The sequence below is a fragment of the Homo sapiens genome, chromosome 16 (assembly GCF_000001405.40).
Source record: "Homo sapiens chromosome 16, GRCh38.p14 Primary Assembly".
NCBI lineage: Eukaryota > Metazoa > Chordata > Mammalia > Primates > Hominidae > Homo > Homo sapiens.
Genome location: NC_000016.10, coordinates 16,181,772 through 16,206,872, shown reverse-complemented (window position 1 = coordinate 16,206,872; position 25,101 = coordinate 16,181,772). Strand labels below are relative to the sequence as shown.

Here is a 25,101-nt window from a genome sequence, read left to right as displayed (position 1 = left end):
GAGCTACTGCACCTGACTCACCCTCTACTTTTGAATGATTTTACGGAAGTGGCAGAATCCAGTCCACAGGGGCTCTGGAAGGAGCCTCTGCCAACTCCTGGCATCCCCAGCCAACATGAAAATTACAGGTCACCCAACACTAGAACTAAAGGGTAGAAACATTCTCCAGAACAGTTTGAGAATCCTCCCATAAACAGTTGACAGAAAGAAAGGGGAAAGATGGGGTTATACAAAGACCAGGCTCCGTCAGCTTCTGAAACAACCGACTGCACCCACAGAGAACTTTGGTTTTCTTTCTGAAGTATTTTGCAACCACTGGGGGAAGGGAGAGGGCGTCCTCCTGAGAGGCCACACAACAGCCACCTGCTGGTCCAGTCGGCTTCACTAATTTTTGTATTTTTTATTAGAGGCGGGGTTTCTCCATGTTGCTCAGGCTATCAGACTGGCCCTGAACTCCTGACCTCAGGTGATTCGCCCGCATTGGCCTCCCAAAGTGCTGGGATTACAGGTGTGAGCCACCGTGCCCGGCCTCCACCACTCCCTTTTGTATCCCCCAACTCACACCTTGCCCATGCCACTCATGCATACCCCCTGCCTTGCCCCACCATCATTTGTGAGATCTGCACTAAATGGCCTTCAGTCCAGAGACCAGACGTCAGACAGCAATCTGGACATCTTCCTTGATGGGAGGTGAGACCTGCAGGAGAGGAAAACACTTGCTATGGAGCCTGCAGGCTGAACACACTGACTCTCTGGGTTAAACAGCTCAAATAGAACTGAGCAGAACCTCAGCCAGAAAGAAAACTTTCCAGTGAACTCTTCCCCGACCCCATTTTGCAGATGGAAACACTAAGGCTCAGAGGAGAGGAGACAGAGCAGGCATTGGAACCACAGTCTCCTGGCTCCAAAGCCAAGTTCTGTCCACCCAGCCAAGCTCCTTCCTTCCTTCTATAAATTTTTATAACAGTATGTGCAGGGGGCACTCTTATTAGGCCCTTTGCACACATCACTCAATCTGTTTTTCCCATTCATTTGACAAGTGTTTATTGAGCTCCTACTGTGTGCAGGAGCTGGACTCTATACTAGGGACATCTTGGTGGAAAACACAGGCAAAGTCTACCCACCTGGGGTTCTAACGAGACAAAGAGAGGGTTGGAGCCATGGACATGGCTGTGAAGGCAATGAATTAAATGGCAGGATCAAACAGGAAAGGGTGGGCAGGGATGCTCTCTGTATGGAAGGGGCATCTTCTTGGCTTTGAGATCCAAATGCCAAAATATTTGTGAGCAGCAGGCCACACCCACTCAGTAACAGAGCTGAACCACAACCCTCCATAGATGCCAAACCAAACACCAGATCAGACCAATAATGTGGGACAGAGACCTTGGCCTTGAAGGGTCTGGCCACCTGAGCTCACCAGAGGTTTTTCTTATGCTTCTTTTTTTATTATTATTTTATTATGGTGAGGTTGGGGGTCCTTAGTGCACAAGAAACCCTTTACAAACCATAAATCAAGATCTAGGCTCAAATCCCTGCTCTGCCCTTGCTGTGTGACCTCGGGCGGCTGTCGCCATCTCTCAGAGCCTCAGCTTCCCCTTCTGTAAAATGGAAAACCTAATAATGCTCACCTGGCAAGGGGATCCAGGGGAGTCAGTGAGCTCCTTCGTGTAAAGAGCTGATCCCAGCACGTGGCCCCGGGTCACAGATCTGTAATGGGGATTGAAATTACTGATAAGTGGCCGGGCATGGTGGCTCACACCTGTAATCCCAGCACTTTGGGAGGCCGAGGCAGGTGGATCACCTGAGGTCAGGAGTTTAAGACCAGCCTGGCTAACGTTGTGAAACCCTGTCTCTACCAAAAATACAAAAATTAGCCAGGCATGGTGGTGTGTGCCTGTAATCCCAGCTACTTGGGAGGCTGAGGCAGGAGAATTGCTTGAACCCAGGAGGCAGAGGTTGCGGTGAGCCGAGATTGCTACACTGCACTCCAGCCTGGGCGACAAGAGCGAAACTCTGTCTCAAAAAAAAAAAAAAAGAAAAGAAAAAGAAAAAGAAATTACTGATAACCTTATAGGTTGTCAGAGCCACAGGGGACTCAGCAGGGGACCACACCCATCCTCTCACACACAGAGAGAGGAGCAGTGTCCCCGCCCAGGACCACACAGCAACCGGACTGTCAGCAGCTGCATCGCCCCAGCCTCTCCTTTCTGGCCCAGGGCTTCTGACCTGCCTCACAGGGGCCCTCGGGCCTCCCCCATCTCCTCCTCTCCCTCCCTCACCTTAGCTCTTCTCTGTGGCCCCTGGTTATAGCCAAAGGCTGGGGATCTTATTAGTTTGAGGCAGCCTGAGCTTCTGTCTGCACTTTCACCCAGAGCTAGAGCACCAGGCCCCATGCCCATCAGCCGTGATTCTCCACCAGTTCAAAACCACCTAAGGGCTGGCTGATTGTGTGTGTTGGGGACGGGGTGCTGTTCTTCCTCCAGGTTGACAACACGATAGGTTGAAAAGTACATGAGAGGCCAGGTGTGGTGGCTCACATCTGTAATCCCAGCACTTTGGGAGGCCAAGGCGAGCAGATCACCTCAGGTCAGGAGTTCAAAACCAACCTGGCCAACATGGCATAACCCCTTCTCTACTGAAAATACAAAAATTAGCTGGGTATGGTGGCACTTGCCTGTAATCCCAGCTACTCGAGAGGCTGAGGTGGGACAATCACTTGAACTGGGAAGTGGAGGTTGCCGTGAGCTGAGATCACACCACTGCACTCCAGCCTGGGCGACAGAGCAAGACTTCGTCTCAAAAAAAAAAAAAGGAAAAGAAAAAAGAAAAGTGCATGGGCTCTGGAGGCAGAGAGCTGGAATCAAATTCCAGTTCTTTTACTTCTCAGCTGTGTGCCCTTGGGCAAGTTCGCTTCTCTGAGCCCCAGTTTTCTCATCTGTGAAATGGGAACAACACCTGGCTTCTCAGGGGGTCTTAGGATGACTGGGGAGTGCCTGGCACATAGTAGGTGCTCAACAGGTGTGCTTTCCCATGGCCATCTAAGAGGCCTCAGAGTGCCCTCCTGCCCTGCCCCCCAACTCCCATGATTGCCTCTTAAGTGGGTACTCAGGGTGATAAGGAGGAACAGGTGAGGGAGCCAGGCTAGATCCACACCCACCCATCTCCACTGTTGGGAAAACAACCCTTTAATGCCTGGCCCTGCCGCTGGCGGCTGAGAGTATAAAATGGGACCCAGAGCTAATCTCTCCCTTCCCCTCAGGCACAACAAGGCAATAGCATTTAAAAGGAAAGGCGGCAGTGGCATGAAGGCTCCAGAGACCGAGCCCTTCCTACGGCAAGAAGGGAGCCAGTGGCGCCCACTGCTGAAGGCCATCTGGCAGGTGTTCCATTCTACCTTCCTCCTGGGGACCCTCAGCCTCATCATCAGTGATGTCTTCAGGTTCACTGTCCCCAAGCTGCTCAGGTGAGTCCCAGACCTCAAGTGCCCTGCTAAGGTGGGTGGTCTCTTAGTGGCATCCTTCCAGGGCCAGGGGGCTTCAGCTCTCCTGCCTCTGCCTATACGTCTGGTGCTCGGGACACTGGATGGTGGGTGAGAAGGACACTGAGGAAGGGAAATGGATTAATGAGAAAGTGACTGACCCCCAGAAGGGCAAATAAGCAAGCTCTTACCTGACTGCATCAATTAGTTTTTGCTGTAAAATGCCCCAAAAGTGAGTGGCTTAAAATGACAAACATTCTTTTATTTAGTTCATGGTAATGTGGGTCAGTAATGTGGGCTGGGCTCAGCTGGGTGGTGGTTCTTTTCTTGGCTGGGTTTTCTCATGTGCCTGCAGTTGTGTATCTGAGACTGGGATGGCTGTCTCTGCTCCATGTGGGTCCCCATCCTCCAAAAGGCTAGCTCAGACTTGTTCATGTGGGTGCTTGGGAGGGTTCTAAGAAATAGACCAAAAACCACATTTTCTCTTGAGGCCTAGGCTCAGAGCCAGCATGGCTTTACCTCCACTGTACTCTGTTGGCCAAAGCCGGTTTTGTAGCCAGCCCAGATTCAAGTGGTGTCTGCTCAGCTGACATAACAAAGCATCACAGACTGAGACTGAGTGGCTTGAACAACAGAAATGTATTTTATCATGATTCTCAAAGCTGGAAGTTCGAGATTAGTATCTGCAAGGTGGTTCCATCTGAGGCCTCTGTCCTTGGCTTGCAGTTGGCCACCTCCTCCCTGTGTCCCCATATGGTCTTTCCTCTGTTTGCGCCCCCTGGTGTCTCCTTGTGTGTCTACATTTCCTCTTCTTAAAAGGACCCCATCAGATTGGATTAGGGCCCAGCCTAATGACCTCATTTTTAACTTCATTGCCTCTTTAAAGGCCCTATTTCCAAATACAGTCACATTCAGAGGTACTGGGGGTCGGGGCTTCAACATATAAACTTTGTGAGGACACAATTTAGCCTATAACAAGTGGGAACAAAAACTCCACCTCTTGATCTTGAGGAGCTGCAGTCAGATTGAAAAGGAGTATGGACAGTGGGGGAAATAACGGAGACCATTATTGCAAAAAAAACCACACTGACTGATCCTCCACACCTGGACTAGTTTGGGCCGACTGATCCTCCACATCTGGACTGGTTTGGGCAAAGGCAACACCCTTAGGCACCTCCTCTCACCAGCTGTACCTTCTCCCTCCTTCCCCTGCAAGCCTTTTCCTGGAGTTTATTGGTGATCCCAAGCCTCCAGCCTGGAAGGGCTACCTCCTCGCCGTGCTGATGTTCCTCTCAGCCTGCCTGCAAACGCTGTTTGAGCAGCAGAACATGTACAGGCTCAAGGTGCTGCAGATGAGGTTGCGGTCGGCCATCACTGGCCTGGTGTACAGAAAGGTGAGCCCTGGGGGACAAGGGCAGGTCTTCCCAGCCAGGAAAAGCAGTATCACTGAGCGGGCAGTAATGTTATCAGCAGCTGAGAACGCATTCAGTCCTTGCTTATTAGAGTCACTCACCATACATTCTCACTTCCTTAGTTATTTCTCTGTATTATATGTATTTATTTTTTTGAGATGGAGTCTTGCTCTGTCACCCAGGCTGGAGTGCAGTGGTGCAATCTCGGCTCACTGCAACCTCCGCCTCCCGGGTTCAAGTGATTCTCCTGCCTCAGCCTCCTGAGTAACTGGGACTATAGACACGTGTCACCACGCCCAGCTAATTTTTATATTTTTGGTAGAGACAAGGTTTTGCCATGTTGGTCAGGCTGGTCTCGAACTCCTAGCCTCAAGTGATCTGTCTCAGCTCCTTAGTTATTCCTGTAAGGTCTTGTGTGATCTGTCCCTAGGGTGTCTCTGACCTCATCCCGTCACCTCCTCCCATGCTCACTCTCCTCCAGCCACACAGGTCTCCTTTCAGTTCCTCAAACACTCCAGGCCCCCACCCACCCTGGGGCCTTTGCAGCTGTTCTCACTGTCTAGGCACCACTTCTACTCCCCCAATCTAATTTTAATTTTTGAGCCTGATTTTAACTTCCACTCATTCCCCCTTGAGGATAAAGGATTAACCTTCTGATAAGGTGGCCTGTCAGCTGTGTTCCCAGACAATACTGCTTGGGGTAAAAATGACCCCTAGGCTGGGCACAGTGGTGCACGCCTGTAATTCCAGCAATTTGGGAGGCTGAGACAGGCGGATCACTTGAGGTCAGGAGTTCAAGACCAGCCTGGCCAACATGGCGAAACCCCATCTCTACTAAAAATACAAAAATTAGCCAGGCATGGTGGCATGTGCCTGTAATTCCAGCTACTTGGGAAGCTGACACAGGAGAATCGCTTGAACCCGGGAGGTGGAGGTTGCAGTGAACTGAGATCACGCCACTACAGCGCAGCCTGGGTAAGAGAGCGAGACCTCGTCTCAGAACAAAAAAAAAACAAAACAAAAAAACCCAAATTGCATCTGGGCTGGAAGTTCTGTCCATTGACTGTGAATACCTGGTTGGAGGCCATAGCTTTAGACTTCTCTCTGTGCAGTGGCTCTTGTCCGTTCCTGGGACTCTGGAAGCTAAGTCCCTGGACTGCTGCCCCAAGAGCTATTGGCTCCTGTGGGGTATGGAGCATCTGAGCCAGGGCAGGTCCCGTCCCATGTAAGTGTCATTCCCTGACACCTGAGCTGTCACCTAGGGGAGGAGGGGACAGAGGGGACAGCTCCTAGGTGGCCGAGAGGGCAGCTCTTGATGCTTTCCTGCCAGAGTGCTGCATCCCAGGCTCCTGTTCCCCTGAGCATGCCAGAGCTAGGTGTGCCCTATCCTGTCTTGAGAGTCCACATTTCCTTGAGCCTAAGAGGAAGGCCGCCTGGTGAGCAGGCATTGATCTTCCTATTCCCCACCCACACGCCAGGAGGCCTTCTTTGATCTCCTGATGAGATCAGATCCCTCCTCTCTAACCTCTGGGCTTTTTTTTTTTTTTTTTTTTCTGACAGAGTTTCGCTCTTGTTGCCCAGGCTGGAGTGCAGTGGCACAGTCCCGGCTCACTACAACCTCCGCCCCCTGGGTTCAAGTGATTCTCCTGTCTCAGCTTCCTGAGTAGCTGGGATTACAGGTGTGCGCCACCATGCCCGGCTAATTTTGTATTTTTAGTAGACAGGGTTTTACCATGTTGGCCAAGCTGGTATCGAACTCCTGACCTCAGGTGATCCACCCACCTCAGCCTCCCAAAGTGCTGGGATTACAGACATGAGCCAACGCGCTCAGCCTGGGCTACTTTTTTATGTTACTCATCATAACTGCCATTAAAGCATGAGTTTTAGAAATATTTTTGTTTTGTCTTATTTTTTTGAGACAGAGTCTCACTCTGTCACCCAGGCTGTAGTGCAGCGGTGCAATCTTGGCTCACTGCAACCTCTGCCTCCTGGGTTCAAGCAATTGTCCTGCCTCACCCTCCCAAATAGCTGGGATTACAGGTGCCCACCAGCATGCCCAGTTAATTTTTGTATTTTTACTAGAGATGGGGTTTTGCCATATTGGCCAGGCTGATCTCGAACTCCCGGCCTCAAGCAATCCACCCGCCTCAGCCTCCCAAAGTGCTGGGATTACAGGTGTGAGCCACTGTGCCCGGCCAGTTATATAAATCTTTATTATAGAGCCTTGTTCCCCACCTCAAACTCCAGGCCCGGGAGAGCAAGCCTCATCTCTGTTGTTCACAGCTGTATTTTCAGTTCCCAGCTCAGTGTGAGTCACACAGTGAGCACTCTTCAAAGACTTGCTAAGTGGAGAATTTCTATGTCCAGTCATTCCTGGATCACTTCTTCACACCCTCACGCAGTCACAAAGGGAGGGCTGCATTTGGAATTTAGCATTCAACAGGCTGGAAGAGGTCCACTGTGACCCCAGGGTTAAGGCAGATGTGAGGCTGCCAGAGAACCAGGTTGGTGTCACAGAAGCACATGAAAGGTCTCACCCTTGTCATGCCTTCGTCACCCTGGATTCCATTCCTTGTGTAGGAGCTTACAAGGCCTGTGACTTTGGGCAAGTTGCTCAACTTCTCTCTGCCTCAGTTTCTTTAGCCATAGAATGGGGTTAGTAAATGTTCATTTCATTGATTCTCGTCTCACATTTTTTTTTCACTCTAATACTTCCAAAATCGAGATGTCTCTTACATGTCTTAATTTAACTGGAAGTGGTATTTTCCTTGGTGAGAGAATAATAGAGAGCAATTTATCCATAGAATTTTTTTTAAAGACAGGGTCTTGCTCTGTTGCCCAGGCTAGAGTGCAGTGGCACCAACATGGCTCACTGCAGCCTCAACCTCCTGTACTCAATTAATCCTCCCACCTCAGCCTCCCCAGTAGCTAGCTAGGACCACAGGCGCACCACAACCATGCCTGGCTAATTTTTTCTTTTTTCCCCCCCGAAATGGATTTTGCTCTTGTTGCCCAGACTGGAATGCAATGGCTTGATCTGGGCTCACTGCAACCTCTGCCTCCTGGGTTTAAGCGATTCTCTTGCCTCAGCCTCCCAAGTAGCTGGGATTACAGGTGCCTGCCACCATGCCCAGCTAATTTTTGTATTTTTGGTAGAGACAGGGTTTCACCATGTTGGCCAGGCTGGTCTCCACCTCCTGACCTCAGGTGATCTGTCCACCTCGGCCTCCCAAAGTGCTGGGATTATAGACGTGAGGCACCGCACCCGGCCCCCTGGCTAATTTTTTAAAGTATTTTGTAGAGCTTGGGTCTTACTATGTCGCGCGGGCTGGTTTCGAACTCCTGGGATCAAGCAATCCTCCCACCTCAGCCTCCCAGAGTGGCGGGATTACAGGCAGAGGCCACTGCACCTGGCCTGGCATTAGAGGGAATGAATATGGTAGTGCCTGCTTGGTACCATTCATGGCTGTGAGCACCCCGGGAAAGGATAAGGCTGTTCATTTAGCACAGTGCCTGCGACATGGTGAGCACTGGGCAGATGACCACCGTTATCTGTGTTAATCTGGTGTTTTCGTGCATGTTATTCATTATTATGCCTCCCGTGCTTTAGGGATCTTGGAGGATTTTCATTTTTGTCATCTCTGTGGATCCTCAAAGAGCCCTGAGAGGTTGGCCTAAGAGACTTTACTCACCCACCTCGCAGACGTGTGAGGTGGGGCTCAGTGGGTGGAGAAGCCACCTGGGGCATCCCTCTGCCCCGGCCTCCCCACTTTACTTCTCTCCTTCTGCCCACCCGCCAGGTCCTGGCTCTGTCCAGCGGCTCCAGAAAGGCCAGTGCGGTGGGTGATGTGGTCAATCTGGTGTCCGTGGACGTGCAGCGGCTGACCGAGAGCGTCCTCTACCTCAACGGGCTGTGGCTGCCTCTCGTCTGGATCGTGGTCTGCTTCGTCTATCTCTGGCAGGTATGCCAGAGGAGGAAGACGGGATTTGAACGGAGTCCCCCACCCCCTCCTTCTCCCCCTCCTCCTTCCCCCTCCCACCCTTCCTCCTCCTGACTTAGCATTCAAGAGGCTGGAAGAGGTCCGCTGTGACCCCAGGGTTAGGGCAAGTCTGAGGCTGTGGGAGAACCAGGTTGGTGTCAGAGAGGCACATGAAAGGTTTTACCCTTGTTCTGCCTTCATCACCCTGGATTCCATTCCTGGTGTAGAAGCTCATAAGGCTTCCTCCCCTCTCCCTCTGCCCCAGCCTCCTCCTCCTGCCCCCCTCCTCTTGCACCCCTCCCTGCACCCTCCCTCCTCCTGCATCTCTCCCACCTTCTGCCCACGCACCCCCTCCTCTTCCTGCACCCCTTCCTTTTCCTCCTTCCCCCTCCTCCTCCTCTTCCTCTCTCCTGCTCCACCTTCTTCTTCCTTTCTGCTCCCTGTCATCTTCCCTCCCACTTCTTCCCTTCTCCCTTCTTCTCCTCTACCGTCCTCCCTCTCTTCCCTCTGCTCTTCCCTCTCCTTCTCTTCCCTTTCTTCTTCCTCTCCTCCTTTTTCTCCTCCCCTTCCACCCCCATCTCCTCCTTCTCCTCCTCCTCCAATCCTGTCTCAATTTGCCTACTATTGTCTGATACGATGGGAAAAGTCCTCAATAAGGATGACCTTCACTTGACCTTGGGCAGGAAGTTCACCCTCTCTGGGCCTCAGTTTCCTCTGTAGAAAGATGATGATGATGACGTTGATACTTCCCCATGTGCTATTAGGGTACCCAGTAGGCAAGTTAACCATGTTTTGAAGTTACCAGTAACCCTGAGGCACCACCATAGCCACTGTCCACAAAACACAAGAGGAGAACATTTTAGGGGGAAAAATTGCTACTTAGTGTTCAAAAAACACAAAGTAGCCATCAGGAAACAACCAAACAAAACAAACAAAACATTTACTTTCCAACTTCATTCCTTTAACGTTGTGGTATAGGATTTTCTTTTTTTAAATTAAAATCAGACTCTGGGCCAGGCACAGTGGCTCATGCCTATAATCTCAGCAATTTGGGGGGTGAGGTAGGTGGATCACTTGAGGCCAGGAGTTCCAGACCAGCCTGGCCAACCCCGTCTCTACTGAAAGATACAAAAATTAGCCGGGCATAGTGGTGGGTGCCTATAACCCCATCCACTCAGGAGGCTGAGGCAGGAGAATCGCTTGAGCCTTGGAGGTGGAAGTTGCAGTGAGCTGAGATAATGCCACTGCACTCCAGCCTGGGTGACAGAGTGAGACTCTGTCTCCAACAAATAAATAAAAGTAAAAATAAAATTAGACTCTGTATCGGGAACTGCCTAGGCTCAAATCCTCCTTCTGACCACTTATCAGTTGTGAATCTGTGTGCAAGGACCCTACTCTCTCTGTGCCTCCTGTTCTTGTCTCCAACGTGAGGATCATAATTAACAGTAGCACTCCTGCCCCAGAGGGGCTGAGGCATTAAACGAGCCCATATGTAGAAAGCACTTAAAAGGGTGCCGGGCACACAACTGCACCCTGTAGGTATTTGTAATATTATCATTAGTTACTTTTCCATAAAGGATAAGACAGTAGATGCTTTTTACACTGGAGGCCACACCATCTCTCCTGCAAATATTCATCTCTGCCCTTGGAGTGCAGAAGTGGCTGTAGACCATACTAAGCAAACAGGCATGGTATTCCTCCAATAAAACTCTATTTATGGATGCTGACATTTGAAGTGCATATCATTTTCATATGTCGTGAAATAGTATCCTTTTGATTTTTTTTTTTTTTTTGAGACAGAGTCTCACTGTGTTGCCCAGGCTTTGGTGCAATGGCACAACTTCGGCTCACTGCAACCTCCACCTCCCAGGTTCAAGCAATTATCCAGCCTCAGCCTCCTGAGTAGCTGGGATTACAGGCGTGCACCACAACATCTGGCTAATTTTTGTATTTTTAGTAGAAACTGGGTTTCACCATGTTGGCTGGGCTGGTCCTGAACTCCTGACCTCAGGTGATCTGCCCACCTCAGCCTCCCAAAGTGCTGGGATTACGGGCATGAGCCACTGTGCCTGGCCTTGTAAAAACTGTTAATGGCATTTTGATTGTAATTGCTGAATATTCCAAAAAAAACTCGAATGCTCATGCATATGATTGTTTTTGCTAAGGCTAGGGGCCAGGACTTTTTCCAGTGTCTTCACCTTGTATTCCAGGGCCTTGCAAACAATAGGCAGGTGCTTAGCAATTACAACATAAGGCACTCAGACAGGGCTTCATGTGCAGTACATAAATGTCATCATTAGGAAGAAAGAGAGGGAGAGAGGAAGAACATGGGAAAATTCAGGGCAATTGATCAGGTTGACCCCACCGTTGCTAAAAATCAGATGAGACCAGGCGGGGCACGGTGGCTCACGCCTGTAATCCCAGCACTTTGGGAGGTGAAGGCCGGCAGAACACTTGAGGTCAGGAGTTCAAGACCAGCCTGGCCAACATGGCAAAACCCTGTCTCTACTGAAAATATAAAAATTAGCCGGGCATGGTGGCATGTGCCTGTAATCCCAGCTACTAGAGAGGCTGAGGCAGGAGAATCACTTGAACCCGGGAGGTGGAGGTTGCAGTGAGCTGAGATCACATCACTGCACTGCAGCCTGGACGACAGAGTGAGACTCCTTCTAAAAAAAAAAAAAAAAAAAAAAAAAAAATTAGATGAGACCAACAAGATATCCATAGATAATGCACCATGTTACTTTGCTTGTGTACTTTTCCTGCCTCTTGGTAGACAGTTCCTAACATCACCGTGAGGTCTTGGTGAAGGAGGAGTGGACACTGAGGTTGCTACAGTTTAATGATACCATTTTTCCCCCAGACAGAGATGTTCATCTTCTGCTCACATTCCTTGAGTGTTTTTCCAAGCCCTGCTGTGGGCTGGTGTTTACCCTCTGCGCCCTTCTCCATTGAGCCACTAGGTAGCGCCATTGCCGCATAAATGAAACAAACTGGCCCAATGTTAGAAAATAGTGTTCCCAGGCCAGGTGGGGTGGCTCAAACCTGTAATATCAGCACTTTGGGAGGCTGAGGTGGGTGGATCACTTGAGGCCAGGAGTTCGAGACCAGCCTGGGCAACGTGGTGAAACCCCATCTCTACTAAAAATACAAAAATTAGCCGAGTGACACATGCCTGTAATCCCAGCTACTCAGGAGGCTGAGACAGGAGAATCGCTTGGGAAGCAGAGGTTGCAGTGAGCCAAGATCATGAGACTGCACTCCAGCCTGGGTCACAGAACAAGAATCCATCTCAAAATAAACAAACAAATAAATAAATAAATAAACATAGTGTTCCTAAGGACTGAGACGGGAAACTGAGGCACACAGACTGGAGTTGGGGTGGGGCTTGTCAAGAGAATGGGTCCAAATAACCTGTGCAGAAATCTCAGAAAGTCACAGCAACTTAAAAATCATTTATTCTACCCCCCACTTCCACATTTTCCAGATATAGAAACCAAAGCCGAGAGGGGGAAGATAACCATCCCAAAATCACCACGTTGGTGGGGGAGCAGGGTTGCCAGAGAAAACACAGGACATTCAGTGAAGTGTGAGTTTCAGACAAACGGAAGAATTTCTCAGTGTATGTCCCAAATATTTCACGAGACTTAGACTAAAACCTTATTCACTCTTTATCTTCAAATGTAACTGGGCATTCTGTATGATGATTTACTAAATCTGACAACCCTTGCGAGGGATGAAATGAAGATTAGGAAAATAATTAAACGCAATAAGAGAAAATGCCAAATGAGAACAACTCTATTCCCATTTTGCAGACAAGAGAATTGCACCTAAGGGAGATGACTTGCCCCAAGGCCACACTCAAAACTCTCAGGGTCAGGATTTGAACCAGGTCCCCTGATTCCATAGGTCTCAACTTTACTGTTGTGGCTGGGAACACCCCCCAGTCCCACTCGTGTGTGTGCACAATCTGTCTTGAATATAACTCTCTCCCTATCGTGTAAGAGGGCTGTTTCCCTCCCTGACATTGAAGGACCCCACCTTCAGCAGGCATCTCCTGACACAGCAGACCCCATGAGCACAGATCCCTGGGACCTGGTGGCTGCCCTTATCAGATTCCCTGACATCCCCATCTTAGGACCCAAGTCTGACCACCTTCGGGGTCTGCAGCTGTGTTACAGAAAAGGGGTCCTGATCCAGATCCCAAAAGAGGGTTCTTGGATCTCGTGCAAGAAAGAATTCAGGGCGAGTCCATAAAGTGAAAGCAAGTGTTTGTTTGTTTGTTTTTTGAGACGGAGTCTCACTCTGCCACCCAGGCTGGAGTGCAGTGGTGCGATCGTGGCTCACTGTAAGCTCCGCCTCCTGGGTTCAAGCTATTCTCCTGCCTCAGCCTCTCGAGTAGCTGGGATCACAGGTGCCCACCACCACACCTGGCTAGTTTTTATATTTTTAGTAGAGACTGTGTTTCACTATGTTGGCCAGGCTGGTCTCAAACTCCTGACCTCAGGTGATCTGCCCGCCTCCGGCCTCCCAAAGTGCTGGTATTACAGGCATGATCCACCGTGCCCGGCCAAAAGCAAGTTTTTTAGTAAAGTAAAGATCTAAAAGAATGGCTACTCCATAGAGAGAGCAACCCAGAGGGCTGCTGGTTGCCCATTTTTATGGTTATTTCTTGATGATATGCTAAACAAGGGGTGGATTATTCATGCCTTTCCTTCTTAGACCATATAGGGTAACTTCCTGATGTTGCCATGGCATTTGTAAACTGTCATGGCGCTGGTGGAGTGTAGCAGTGAGGATGACGGGAGGTCACTCTCGTAGCCATCTTGGTTTTGGTGGGATTTGGCCGCCTTCTTTACTGCAACCTGTTTTATCAGGAAGGTCTTTGTGACCTGTATCTTGTGCCGACCTCCTATCTCATCCTGTGACTTACAATACCCTAACCGTCTGGGAATGCAGCCCAGTAGGTCTCAGCCTCATTTTACCCAGTCCCTATTCAAGATGGAGTTGCTCTGGTTCACGTGCCTCTGAGAGCTGGGCTCCTCGGGATCTCCTGACATCCTGCCCCTTCTATCCCCAGCTCCTGGGGCCCTCCGCCCTCACTGCCATCGCTGTCTTCCTGAGCCTCCTCCCTCTGAATTTCTTCATCTCCAAGAAAAGGAACCACCATCAGGTTTGGCTTTTGGGAAAGGGACGGACCAGGCAGGAAGTAGGGAGGAAGCCACAGGTCCTGGTGTGGGAGATGCGGAGGGGAGAGCTGAGTGCGAGCCCACGGGTCTGGCTTTGTTCTTGTCGTCTGTGAGCTGCCCATCACTCAGACCTGCACCCCCTCCCCCTATCCTCTCAATGGACAGTGGCTCCGTCCCTCCAATGTTCAGGCCACAGGCCCTGGGTCAGTTCAATGCCTTTTTCTCTCACATCCCATCTGTCAGCAGATTTGCTTGGCATCACCTTCAAAATGCATCCAAAATGTCACACTTCCCAGCATAGGCTCTCCGAACCCCATGATCTCTAACCCAGGTCACAGCAGCAAGCCCCTGGCTCACTCCCCGCCTCTGCCCTCAGCCTCTCTCCACTCCCAGCCAGAGGAGACCTATGCAAACCAAATACGTTGTACCCCTCCTCTACTCAGACCCACAGCGGCCCCATTTTCCTCAGACTGAGCCAAAGACCCCACAGTGGCCCACCAGGCCCGCCCTGAGCTGGCCTTATTGCTTCCAACCTCACCTTCTACCCATCTCCCCTCCTTCCCTGCCTTTCCCCACACATCTCCCATCCTCAAACCTGCCCGATCTCACACATCCCTGCAGGCCTTCGCTTTAGCTGTTCCCTCCACCTGGATCACCCTCACTCCCGAAGATCCTCTGTCACCTCCCTGCAGTCAGGGCGGCTTCCCTCACCACCCTCCAGCAAGGAAATGGCACGTCCATCCCTCCCCTCCCAGCAGCAGCCTCTCCTTTGCCTGCCCTGGGATTGTTTTTGCTTTTTTCCCCCCACAGCACTTCCCACAACCTACAGGGTCCTACAGGAAGCACCCGGCAGGGTTGATTGCCTTGTTTTCCTTAACTGGAAGCTTTGCAACAGCACAGGCCACTGATTGTGGCCAACTCGGCATCTAGTTAGTGCTTGGCAGGCAGAAGGTTCTCAGTAAGTGTTTGTGAACTATGGAAGAAAGGAGGGAGGGAAGAAGGAAAGGAGGAGAGGAAGGAGGGAGGGGAAGGAGAGAAAAGGAGGGAGGGAAGGAAAGATAGGAAAGGGGAGGAAGGACAGAGGGAAGGAGGGAAGGAAAGAATTGAGGGCGGAAGAGAAGGAATGAGGGAGAGAAGGAAGAAAGGGGGGAGGGAGGGAAGGAAATAAAAGGAAAGAGGGAAGAAAGCAAAGGAAAGAGGAAGAAAGGAGATAGGGAAGGAAGGAAAGAAAAGGCGGGAAAGAGAGAGGGAGAGATGGGGGATGGAGGGAAGGAACTTATTTCCTCTCTTGGCCCAGCTGTCCCAGTGTCCGTCTGTCACCTGGGCTGTTTCTTCAGCCTCCTGCGTGGACTCCTCTAAAACATTCTAGGCTGGGCACAGTGGCTGACACCTGTAATCCCAGCACTTTGGGAGGCCACACCTGTAATCCCAGCACTTTGGGAGGCCGAGGCAGGCAGATCACCTGAGGTCAGGAGTTCAAAACCAGCCTGGCCAACATGGCATAACCCTGCCTCCACAAAAAATACAAAATTTAGCCGGGCGTGGTGGCGGGCGCCTGTAATCCCAGCTACTCGGGAAGCTCAGGCAGGAGAATCGCTTGAACCCAGGAGGCGGAGGTTACAGTGAGCCGAGACCACACCACTGCACTCCAGCCTGGGCGACAGAGGAAGACTCGGTCTCAAAAAGTAAAACCTTCTCCAGGCAGCTGCCCCTCTGATGATGCCCCCCGCCCCATGGTGAAGCACAGGAGACCCTGAATTCTTCTGCCTGACTTTAAAGTGCCAAGTGACCCTGCCCACACGCTCCTCTGGTCACACTGAGTGTCCTCTGAGTCATGCTATTCCCTGTGCCTGGGTTTTAGGTGCCCCCGCCACCCCCCTACCCCCCAGCCCCCACCCCCCACCCCCATCTCAAGCCCCTCCCCTCCCTCTTCTCCAGCTCCATCCCCCCATCCTCTGCCTGCTCAGCACGCACTTCCTGGTCATTTAAGATTTAGCTCAGGCTGTAATCCCAGCATTTTAGGAGGCTGAGGGCAGAGGATCACTTGAGCCCAGGAGCTCGAGGCCAACCTGGGCAACATAGTGAGACCCCAACTCCACAAAAAATGTAAAAGGTAAAAAAAAAAAAAGACGTAGCTCAGGCATCAACCACCTCCAGGTAGCCTTCCTGATGGTGTCATACCCAGGTGGGCTCAGGCTGCCTCTGTTCTCCGGGCATCAGAGGCTTCCTCCATGGGGCACATTATCCCAGGGGCACTCCTGCAGAAGTCCAGGTACAGGATGATGGTGGTTGGACCAGGAGTGAGGGTCAGAGGTGCTGAGAGGCAGACAGGTTTGGGACGCAGTTTGGTGAGATGAATGGGATTTGCTGAAGGGTGGCTGTCAGGGTGCAGGGAAGAGTTCTCAACTGTCCCTGTCTTCATCTCTCTTTTTCCCTCCGATCCCAGGAGGAGCAAATGAGGCAGAAGGACTCACGGGCACGGCTCACCAGCTCTATCCTCAGGAACTCGAAGACCATCAAGTTCCATGGCTGGGAGGGAGCCTTTCTGGACAGAGTCCTGGGCATCCGAGGCCAGGAGCTGGGCGCCTTGCGGACCTCCGGCCTCCTCTTCTCTGTGTCGCTGGTGTCCTTCCAAGTGTCTACATTTCTGGTGACGTCACTCTAGTCTCTATGCTGAGCAGCACTGGGGAAGGAGTGCGGGGGTGGGGGCAGGGTGAGGTAGGTGGAGCCCCCCAGATCCTACCACCCCGTCCATCAAAACCCACTCATTCTGGATCCTGTTCTCTCTGGGTCCCTGCTGTCTTCTACAAGAACTAATTAATCATATTATTCTAGCAAAGGTGGCAGTGGCTGATAAAGTCTGCTGAACTCTCAGAGAGAGTTCCAGGCTTCTACCGATGTGGGGAGGAGGGTACAGATGCAGGGGGGTGGCAGAGGTAGAATCCTGGGTCAGAGTGACTTCCCTGATCCTGGCCAGCAGATGTCCATAGCCACCCTGTCACTGGACGTGATCCTTGTCCTGCCATTCTGTAATTTATTTCATATTGCTGTCAGAACAACCTTCCTAAACCACAGTTTTAAAAAATTTGATACGTAGGCTGGGTGTGGTGGCTCATGCCTGTCGTCCCAATACTTTGGGAGGCCGAGGTGGGTGGATCACCTGAGGTCAGGAGTTCAAGACCAGCCTGGCCAACATGGCGAAACCCTGTCTCTACTAAAAATACAAAAATTAGCTGGTTGCAGTGGCGGGCGCCTGTAATCCCAGCTACTTGGGAGTCTGAGGCAGGAGAATCACTTGAACCCAGGAGGCAGAGGTTGCAGTGAGCCGAGATCATGCCACTGTACTCCAGCCTGGGCGACAGAGCAAGACTTCATCTCAAAAAAAAAAAAAAAAGCACCACAAATGGCACCAACACCTAGAGCCCTCAAGTGCTGCTCCTGCCTGCAACTTTAGAGTCATCTTCCAAGGGACTCTAGAATCACAAGTTCCACCACGTCTAGAACAACAGGGCTACCAAGATCAAAAACTCTGCTGTCCCCCGATGCCTGGAACCTAGAGGCATTAGGTTCTCCCCTAGGTTCTAGTGATGCCTAGAGCCGTGGGGCTGCGCACTCATCACCATTAGCAATGCGCTGTGTCTTTAGAGAGAGCCTTATGTAGCTTATGACTGCGGAGAGGACATGTGTTAGCAGGACTGGGAGTGGGATCTACGGAGGGAAGCACATGCGGACATGGCGGGTGGGCCACATGGACCGTGCAGGCACCACAGCTTGCCCAGGCTGCCCTATCCATGCTTGCGTGTCTCACTGTTGCCCCACGTGTCCCCCCCACCCCCCAGGTCGCACTGGTGGTGTTTGCTGTCCACACTCTGGTGGCCGAGAATGCTATGAATGCAGAGAAAGCCTTTGTGACTCTCACAGTTCTCAACATCCTCAACAAGGCCCAGGCTTTCCTGCCCTTCTCCATCCACTCCCTCGTCCAGGTGAGGTGGGTGCAAGGGCTGGAGCCATCCTGGGAGAGTGCGTGGGCTACACCTGGCTCCAGCTTCCCTACCCCTGCCATTTGCAGAGGAGAGGGAAGACAGAGTGGGAGGGAGAGGGATGGTGTGGAGCTGGAAAAGAGGCGGGTAGGGGCAAGAACAGAGGCGGGCAGAGAGTACAGCAAATACATCTGGAAGGGGTCAGCCTTTGGAGGGCAATGTGCAGACCTTTCCACACACACCTCAGAACATGCATACTTGTCCATCTGCCCAGCAATTCCACATACAAGCAATCATGTCAGTTCCCTTTTTTATACAAAGCGATTTTGTTTCTCTTCCTTTGCTATCTCTAGTCCTTTCAGCATGGTGAAAACAAGAAACGGCGGCATACCTGAGCCATCTCCATGTTTTTTATTTTTTATTTTTATTTATTTATTTATTTGAGATGGAGTCTCACTCTGTCACCCAGGCTGGAGTGCAGTGGTGCAATCTCGGCTCACTGCAAGATCTACCTCGCAGATTCAAGTGATTCTCCTGCCCCAGCCTGCCAAGTAGCTGGGACCACAGGCATGCACAACCATGCCCAGCTAATTTTTTTTTTTTTTTTTGTATTTTTAGTAGAGATGAGATTTCACCATGTTGGCCAGGCAGGTCTTGAACCGCTGACCTCAGGTGATCTGCCCACCTTGGCCTCCCAAAGTGCTGATTACAGACATGAGCCACTGCACCCAGTCTTATTTATTTATTTATTGTGTTTTTAGTAGAGACAGGGTTTCACCATGTTGGCCAGGCCAGGCTGGTCTTGAACCCCCGACCTCATGTAATAAGCCCGCCTCAGCCTCCCAAAGTGCTAGGATTACAGGCATGAGCCACCGCGCCTGGCCGCCTTATTTATTTATTTATTTATTTATTTATTTATTTATTTAATTTATTTATTGAGACAGTGTCTCACTCTGTCACCCAGGCTGGAGTGCAGTGGCACGATCTCAGCTCACTGCATGCTCAAACTCCTGGACTCAAGTGATGCTTCTACCTCCCAGCCTCCTGAGTAGCTGGGACTACAGGCATGGGCCACCACATCCGGCTAATTTTTTTAATTTTTTGTAGAAACAAAGAGTCTTGCTATGTTCCCCAGGTCTCCAACTCCTGGCCTCAAGTGATCCTCCTGCACTTGGCTTCCCAAAGTGCTGGGATTACCGGCATGAGCCGCTGCACCTGGCCTAATCTCTATTTTAACGACTGGTCTCTTTCTTCCCCAAAGATGGGTTTGTGACTGGGAGAGAGCGCCCCCAGGTGGACAACATTTGAAATTGTTCCACACAATGGCTTGATAACCTTATTGGAAAAGCCACCATCCTCTTCCCAGATCTTGTCTGCAGAATGGCAGCTGGCTTGCTTCGGTGTCACTGATTTGTAGGATCGCAGAGGTGGGAGATCACCACCATCAAGGTCACCACTCGGGTTGCATCGTTTCCCATGAACTAGAAAGCTTTGTCCTCACGCCTCCTATGCACAGAGCTTGGTAGACAGGAAGCTGTTGCCACACATCTTGAGACACCGACACCCAAAACCTGAGTTCTTTGCTCTTCTTGCTGGGTGACCTGCGGCTTCGGTTTTCCTAGGCCCGGGTGTCCTTTGACCGTCTGGTCACCTTCCTCTGCCTGGAAGAAGTTGACCCTGGTGTCGTAGACTCAAGTTCCTCTGGAAGCGGTGAGTGCTGAGTCTGGCAGGAGGGGTGTGGGAGGGATGGGGGATGTGGGGGCCACCCCAGCCCATAATGGCAAGCCAGCATCAGTACTGGGGGGAGATGGGGGCTGCGGGCAATGGATGACACGTGCAGATCACGCCATCTGCGTGTCACTTGGAAACTGGCACCGTGCTGCTCTTCTTTCTGCTAGCCATTCAGCGACCACTCACTGAGCGCCCACTTTGTACCATCCTGGGTGTACAACAGGGAACACTCTAACACAGTGGTCCCCAAGCTTTTTGGCACCAGGGACTGGTTTTGTGGAAGACAGTTTTCCCACGGACCGGGGAGAGGCGCGTGGTTTTGGGATGATTCAAACACATTCCATTTATTGTGCCCTTTATTATTATTACATTGTACTATATAATGAAATAATTATACAACTCACCATAACGTAGAACCAGTGGGAGCCCTGAGCTTGCTTTCCGTCAACTAGATGGCCCCAAAGCGGGTGATGGGAGACAGAGATCATCAGGCATTAGATTCTTATAAGGAACACGCAACCCAGATTCCTCACATGCACAGTTCACAAGTGTTCGTGCTCCTTTGAGAATCTATTGCTGCTGCTGATTTGGCAGGAGGTGGAGCTCAGGCGGTGATGGGAGTGATGGGGAGTGGCTATAAACACAGATGACACTCTGCTCACCTGCCCTGCGCTCACCTCCTGCTGTATGGCCCAGTTCCTAAGAGGCTGCAGACTGGTACCAGTCTGTGGCCTGGGGGTTGAGGACTCCTGCTCTAACAGACCAGGTCCTTGTCCTCATGCAGAAAGTCCCAGGTAATAAGCATGACAGCATTTTGATCAAGCTGGAAAATAGCAGCATTTCAAGCACCATTGCACGATGAGACTTACCAAGCTCAAGTTACCTGGGCTTCCCCCTCCACCCCATCCTTCTTTTATGCCACGGGCCAAGACACCCTCCCCCTTGTTGCACTGAAGAACCTGGGCAAACTGTGTACCTGGAAAACACCCACATAGTGGTAAGAAGCCGAGCCTGTGGCATTCAACTGCCCAGGTCCAAATCCCAGCCCCAGCACTGACTAGCTGGGTGATCCTGACAAGTAGATCATCTCTCTGAGCTTCCGTGTTCCCATCTCCAAAATGGGCATGTTAATCGTTATAGCAGCTAATTGTGACGATGAATTTAATTGATCTGGGCTAAGCCATGAGAGCTTTGATTTTTAGAAAATCTTTCAGGCAATTCTAACTACGTCTTAAGGATCAAGAACCACTAATCTAATTACACTTGTTATCACAGTGAAATAATAATAATAATTAGTAGTAGTAGCAGTAGTATTTTTGAGACACAGTCTTACTCCGTCATCCAGGCTGGAGTGCAGTGGTGCAATCTTGGTTCACTGCAACCTCCGCCTCCTGGGTTCAAGCAATTCTCCTGCCTTAGCCTCTCAAGTAGCTGTGATTACAGGCGCCCACCACCACGCCTGGCTAATTTTTGTATTTTTTGGTAGAGGCAGGGTTTTGCCATGTTGGCCAGGCTGGTCTCAAACTCCTGACCTCAAGTGATCCTACCACCTCTGCTTCCTAAAGTGCTGGGATTACAGGCATGAGACACTGTGCCGGCCACAGTGAAATTAATAACACCCCCTTCACTCTGGGAAGGCTGGGATTTGATGATAATTTATTTCAGAAATTCACTAACTTTTTCCATAAATGACCAGATTGTGCATATTTTAGGCCTGTGGGCCACACAGTCTCTGTCACAACTGCTCAAAGCATGAAATAGAGAAATGAATGGATGTGGCCGTGTTCCAATAAAACTTTATTTATAAGAAAAGGCAGCAGGCAGGATTTGGTCTCTGGGCCACAGTTTGCCTCCCCCTGGATTATGTAGCCATGGGACACGGACAGAACAAGAACCCTGCGGGGTCACCCACAAGCCAGTGAGTAGCAGGGCAATTTGTTCAGTGGGAGAGATTTCTTCCTGCAGCCTCTGCCCCTGGGGGGGGCGGGGGATGGTGCCTGGGGGCCTCTCCGATGCAGAGGCCGGCCAGGTCAGGGGTCTCCTGTAAATGGCCTCTTGTGCCCTGCAGCTGCCGGGAAGGATTGCATCACCATACACAGTGCCACCTTCGCCTGGTCCCAGGAAAGCCCTCCCTGCCTCCACAGGTACAGAACGACACCCGTAGTAACCAGCCTCATGTTTTTAGGGAGAAGATGCATGGGGCTCCTGCTGCCTCCCACCTGAGAGGTGGTGTAGGTTTCCAGCCTGGGACTGGAGGGTGGGTTTGGCTGGGCTGGGGCTCTGCCGGGGAGGTTCTCAGGATACATCTCTACCTCCTGAAGGTGGGGACCTGCACAGCATAGACCAGTATCTCCTGCAGACGGGGACCAGGGCATCTGAGCCTCCCCCATTAGGGGGAGACACCCCTGTGCTCCCAGGCTGGCCAAGACGATGCCAAGGGAGGGCTGGCTGAGAGGAGCCCCAAGGTTCAGCCCTATCAGCTGTGCTCACTTCTGTGCCTCCTGTATCAGTCCGAGGTCATGATCATCTATAGTCTCCAACTCTATCGCTTGGTCTTTGTGGCCAAAAATCTCAGACAGCCCTGAAACTCCCTAAGAAGAGAAGGAATATGCCCCAGGTAGTATTTGTATTGGTTGTCATTCACTCACTTCATCGATAGAGCACTAGGTATGGGCCACGCTCTGTTCTAGGTATTGGGGATAGGGCGAAGGAAACAGACAAGGGCCCTGCTCTCGTGGGGTGACATGCTGATAGAGGTGAGGCCCAAACAGAAAACCAGAGCAAGGGAACAGAGTACGATGGCATGTCTAGCGAGGGAAGGCTTTGCATTCAAGCCGAGATCATAAGGAAGGAGTGTCTGGGAGAAGAGCTGTTCTTTTTTTTTTTTTTTTTTTTTTTTTTTTTGAAACGGAGTCTTGCTCTATCACGCGGGCTGGAGTGCAATGGCATGATCTCGGCTCACTGCAACCTCCACCTTCCGGATTCAAGCAATTCTCCTGCCTCAGCCTCCCGAGTAGCTGGGATTACAGGCGCATGCTACCACACCCAGCTAATTTTTGTATTTTTAGTAGAGATGGGTTTTACCATGTTCGTCAGGCTGGTCTCCAACTCCTGACCTCAAGTGATCCACCTGCCTCAGTTCCCAAAGGACTAGGATTACAGGCATGAGCCACCGTGCCCGGCCTGGGAGAAGAACCTTCTAGGCGGTGGGAATGGCATCAGCAAAGGTCCTGGGGCAGGAGAGTGCCTGGACCTGGGTTTCTCAACCTCAGCACGGTTGATATTTTGGGCTGAAACTCCTTTGTTGGGGGCTGTCGTGTGCATTGTGGGATGTTTAGCTGACCCCAGTCTCTACCCACTAGATGCCAGCAGCACCCCCTACTGGTTGTGACATCCAAAAATATCTCTAGATCTTGCCAAATGACTCCTGGGGGATGCAGTCACCCCCTGGTGAGAACCACTGGCCTTTTGTGTTCAAGAAACAGCAAGGAGGTCAGCAAGGCCAGGGCCGAGCAGCTGAGGCACAGAGCGGAAGGAGGCGGGAGATGTCATTCCTGATCGTCAGGACTTTAGCTTTGACCCTGAGTGAAATGGGAGTGCTGGCGGGTTTAGCTGGGAAGTGTCACGATCTGACTTGGGTTTTAACAGATCCCTCTGGTCACTGGGTGGAGGATGGGCTGTGGGACGTGGACAGGAGTGGGGCGGGACCAAGAGTAGCGGGAGGGAGGGAGGAAAGAGCCTATTTATCGCAAGAGCCAAGGCAGGAGGCCAGGCTGGTGAAACCCTCAGGCTATAGTCAACCCTGTGTGTGTGTGCGTGGTGTGCATGTGTGCACACATGTATGCGTGTGAGCATGGATTGATTGGGTATGTGCATGCACTTGTGTGTGTGTGGATGCGTGCCCACATTGTGTTGCTGTGCATGCTAGCATGCTTGTATGAGTGTGCAAATGTGCATGCATGTGTGCACGCTTTGTGTGCATGTGTACATGCACAGATGTGCACAGGATAGTTCCTCAAATAGCTAGACAAGGACTGGGAAAAAGAACAGCCCCACAGGTCCTCTTGGAGACTCCCAGAGCAGGAAAGCTCAGCTCCGTCTGGGGCTCATCCTTCCTCACAGAGGCGGGCTGAACCCTAACCAAGGTCATGTCTCCCCTCTTGCGTGTCCAGAATAAACCTCACGGTGCCCCAGGGCTGTCTGCTGGCTGTTGTCGGTCCAGTGGGGGCAGGGAAGTCCTCCCTGCTGTCCGCCCTCCTTGGGGAGCTGTCAAAGGTGGAGGGGTTCGTGAGCATCGAGGTGAGGCCACCCCCAGCCTGTCTGCTAGGATGTCCCCATCCTGAAAGTCCCACTTCCTCGCTGCCTTCCCACCCTCCCCATCCCAGCCAAGTTCACTTTCACTCATTCTCTCCACCTCTCACCCACCACTGAGAGCCCAGCTCCCACTGCTCCTCAAAACCTATCCCACCTCTGTCCCCATCATCCTCCTGTGACCAAAGTAAGTTGTGTTTTAGGGTGCTGTGGCCTACGTGCCCCAGGAGGCCTGGGTGCAGAACACCTCTGTGGTAGAGAATGTGTGCTTCGGGCAGGAGCTGGACCCACCCTGGCTGGAGAGAGTACTAGAAGCCTGTGCCCTGCAGCCAGATGTGGACAGCTTCCCTGAGGGAATCCACACTTCAATTGGGGAGCAGGTGAGAGTTTGGGGGTCTTTTTGGGACAGGGAGACATTGCAGTTGGGAGTCATTTGGGTCCCCGACTCATCATGGGCAGTATGATGGAGAAATGAGAGGAATGGTTAGGGAAGTAGCGGAGAAAAAGGGCTCAGCTCAGCGTCAAGCACGTGCTAGGTGCTCAATACGTAATCACTAATTGATAAGCAGAAATAGACACAAAGAGAGAGGCAGGGAGTTGTGGCAGGGATTGGCAGTGAGGAGCTCTCTGACAACTGAGAGTGAGAAGACCTAGACTCCTGTCTTACTCTGCCCTGCCTTGCTGAGTAATGTTGGTGTAATTGCTTCCCCTCTCTGGGCCTCACCAAGGGGTCTGGACAGAGATGTCCAAGAAACAGGATATATGCATCTGGAGCTATGGATTGGGCAGGGGTTGGCAAACTGTGACCCCAAGCCAAATCCAGCCCACCACTTGTGGTTTTGTTTTTTGTTTTGTTTTGGAGACAGAGTCTTGCTCTGTTGCACAGGCTGGCATGCAGTGATGCAATCTCGGCTCACTGCAACCTCCGCCTCCCACGTTCAAGCAATTCTCACACCTCAGCCTCCTGAGTAGCTGGAATTACAGGCACATGCCACCATACCTGGCTAATTTTTATATTTT

The 25,101-nt window shown here is 51.4% G+C and overlaps 1 protein-coding gene across 8 annotated transcripts in view, besides 2 other annotated features; it reads left to right on the top strand.

Annotated features, from left to right (window-relative positions):
• ABCC6 (ATP binding cassette subfamily C member 6) overlaps positions 1-25,101 on the top strand; it is a 73,930-nt gene that overhangs the window by 16,622 nt on the left and 32,207 nt on the right. For all 8 annotated transcript variants that reach the window (NR_199643.1, NR_199642.1, NR_199641.1 and 5 more), the window contains 10 exon segments: positions 3,260-3,463; positions 4,695-4,872; positions 8,691-8,852; positions 13,951-14,043; positions 16,506-16,709; positions 17,899-18,042; positions 19,662-19,749; positions 21,839-21,914; positions 23,943-24,069; positions 24,285-24,461. Coding sequence is in view for 4 of the 8 variants with exons in the window: in NM_001440310.1 (NP_001427239.1) it covers positions 3,260-3,463; positions 4,695-4,872; positions 8,691-8,852; positions 13,951-14,043; positions 16,506-16,709; positions 17,899-18,042; positions 19,662-19,749; positions 21,839-21,914; positions 23,943-24,069; positions 24,285-24,461 (1,453 nt within the window). In the remaining 4 variants the exon portion in view is untranslated.
• Positions 6,101-6,602: an enhancer, noted in NCBI's record as "NANOG hESC enhancer chr16:16294128-16294629 (GRCh37/hg19 assembly coordinates)". NCBI's record gives its function as "activates a minimal SCP1, AML or CMV promoter by ChIP-STARR-seq in naive H9 embryonic stem cells {active_cell/tissue: H9 hESC(naive)}" and the evidence as "EXISTENCE:reporter gene assay evidence [ECO:0000049][PMID:30033119]".
• Positions 20,300-20,473: a silencer, noted in NCBI's record as "fragment chr16:16280257-16280430 (GRCh37/hg19 assembly coordinates)". NCBI's record gives its function as "represses an EF-1alpha promoter that drives an FKBP-Casp9 reporter gene in an ReSE screen in HepG2 liver carcinoma cells {active_cell/tissue: HepG2}" and the evidence as "EXISTENCE:reporter gene assay evidence [ECO:0000049][PMID:32094911]".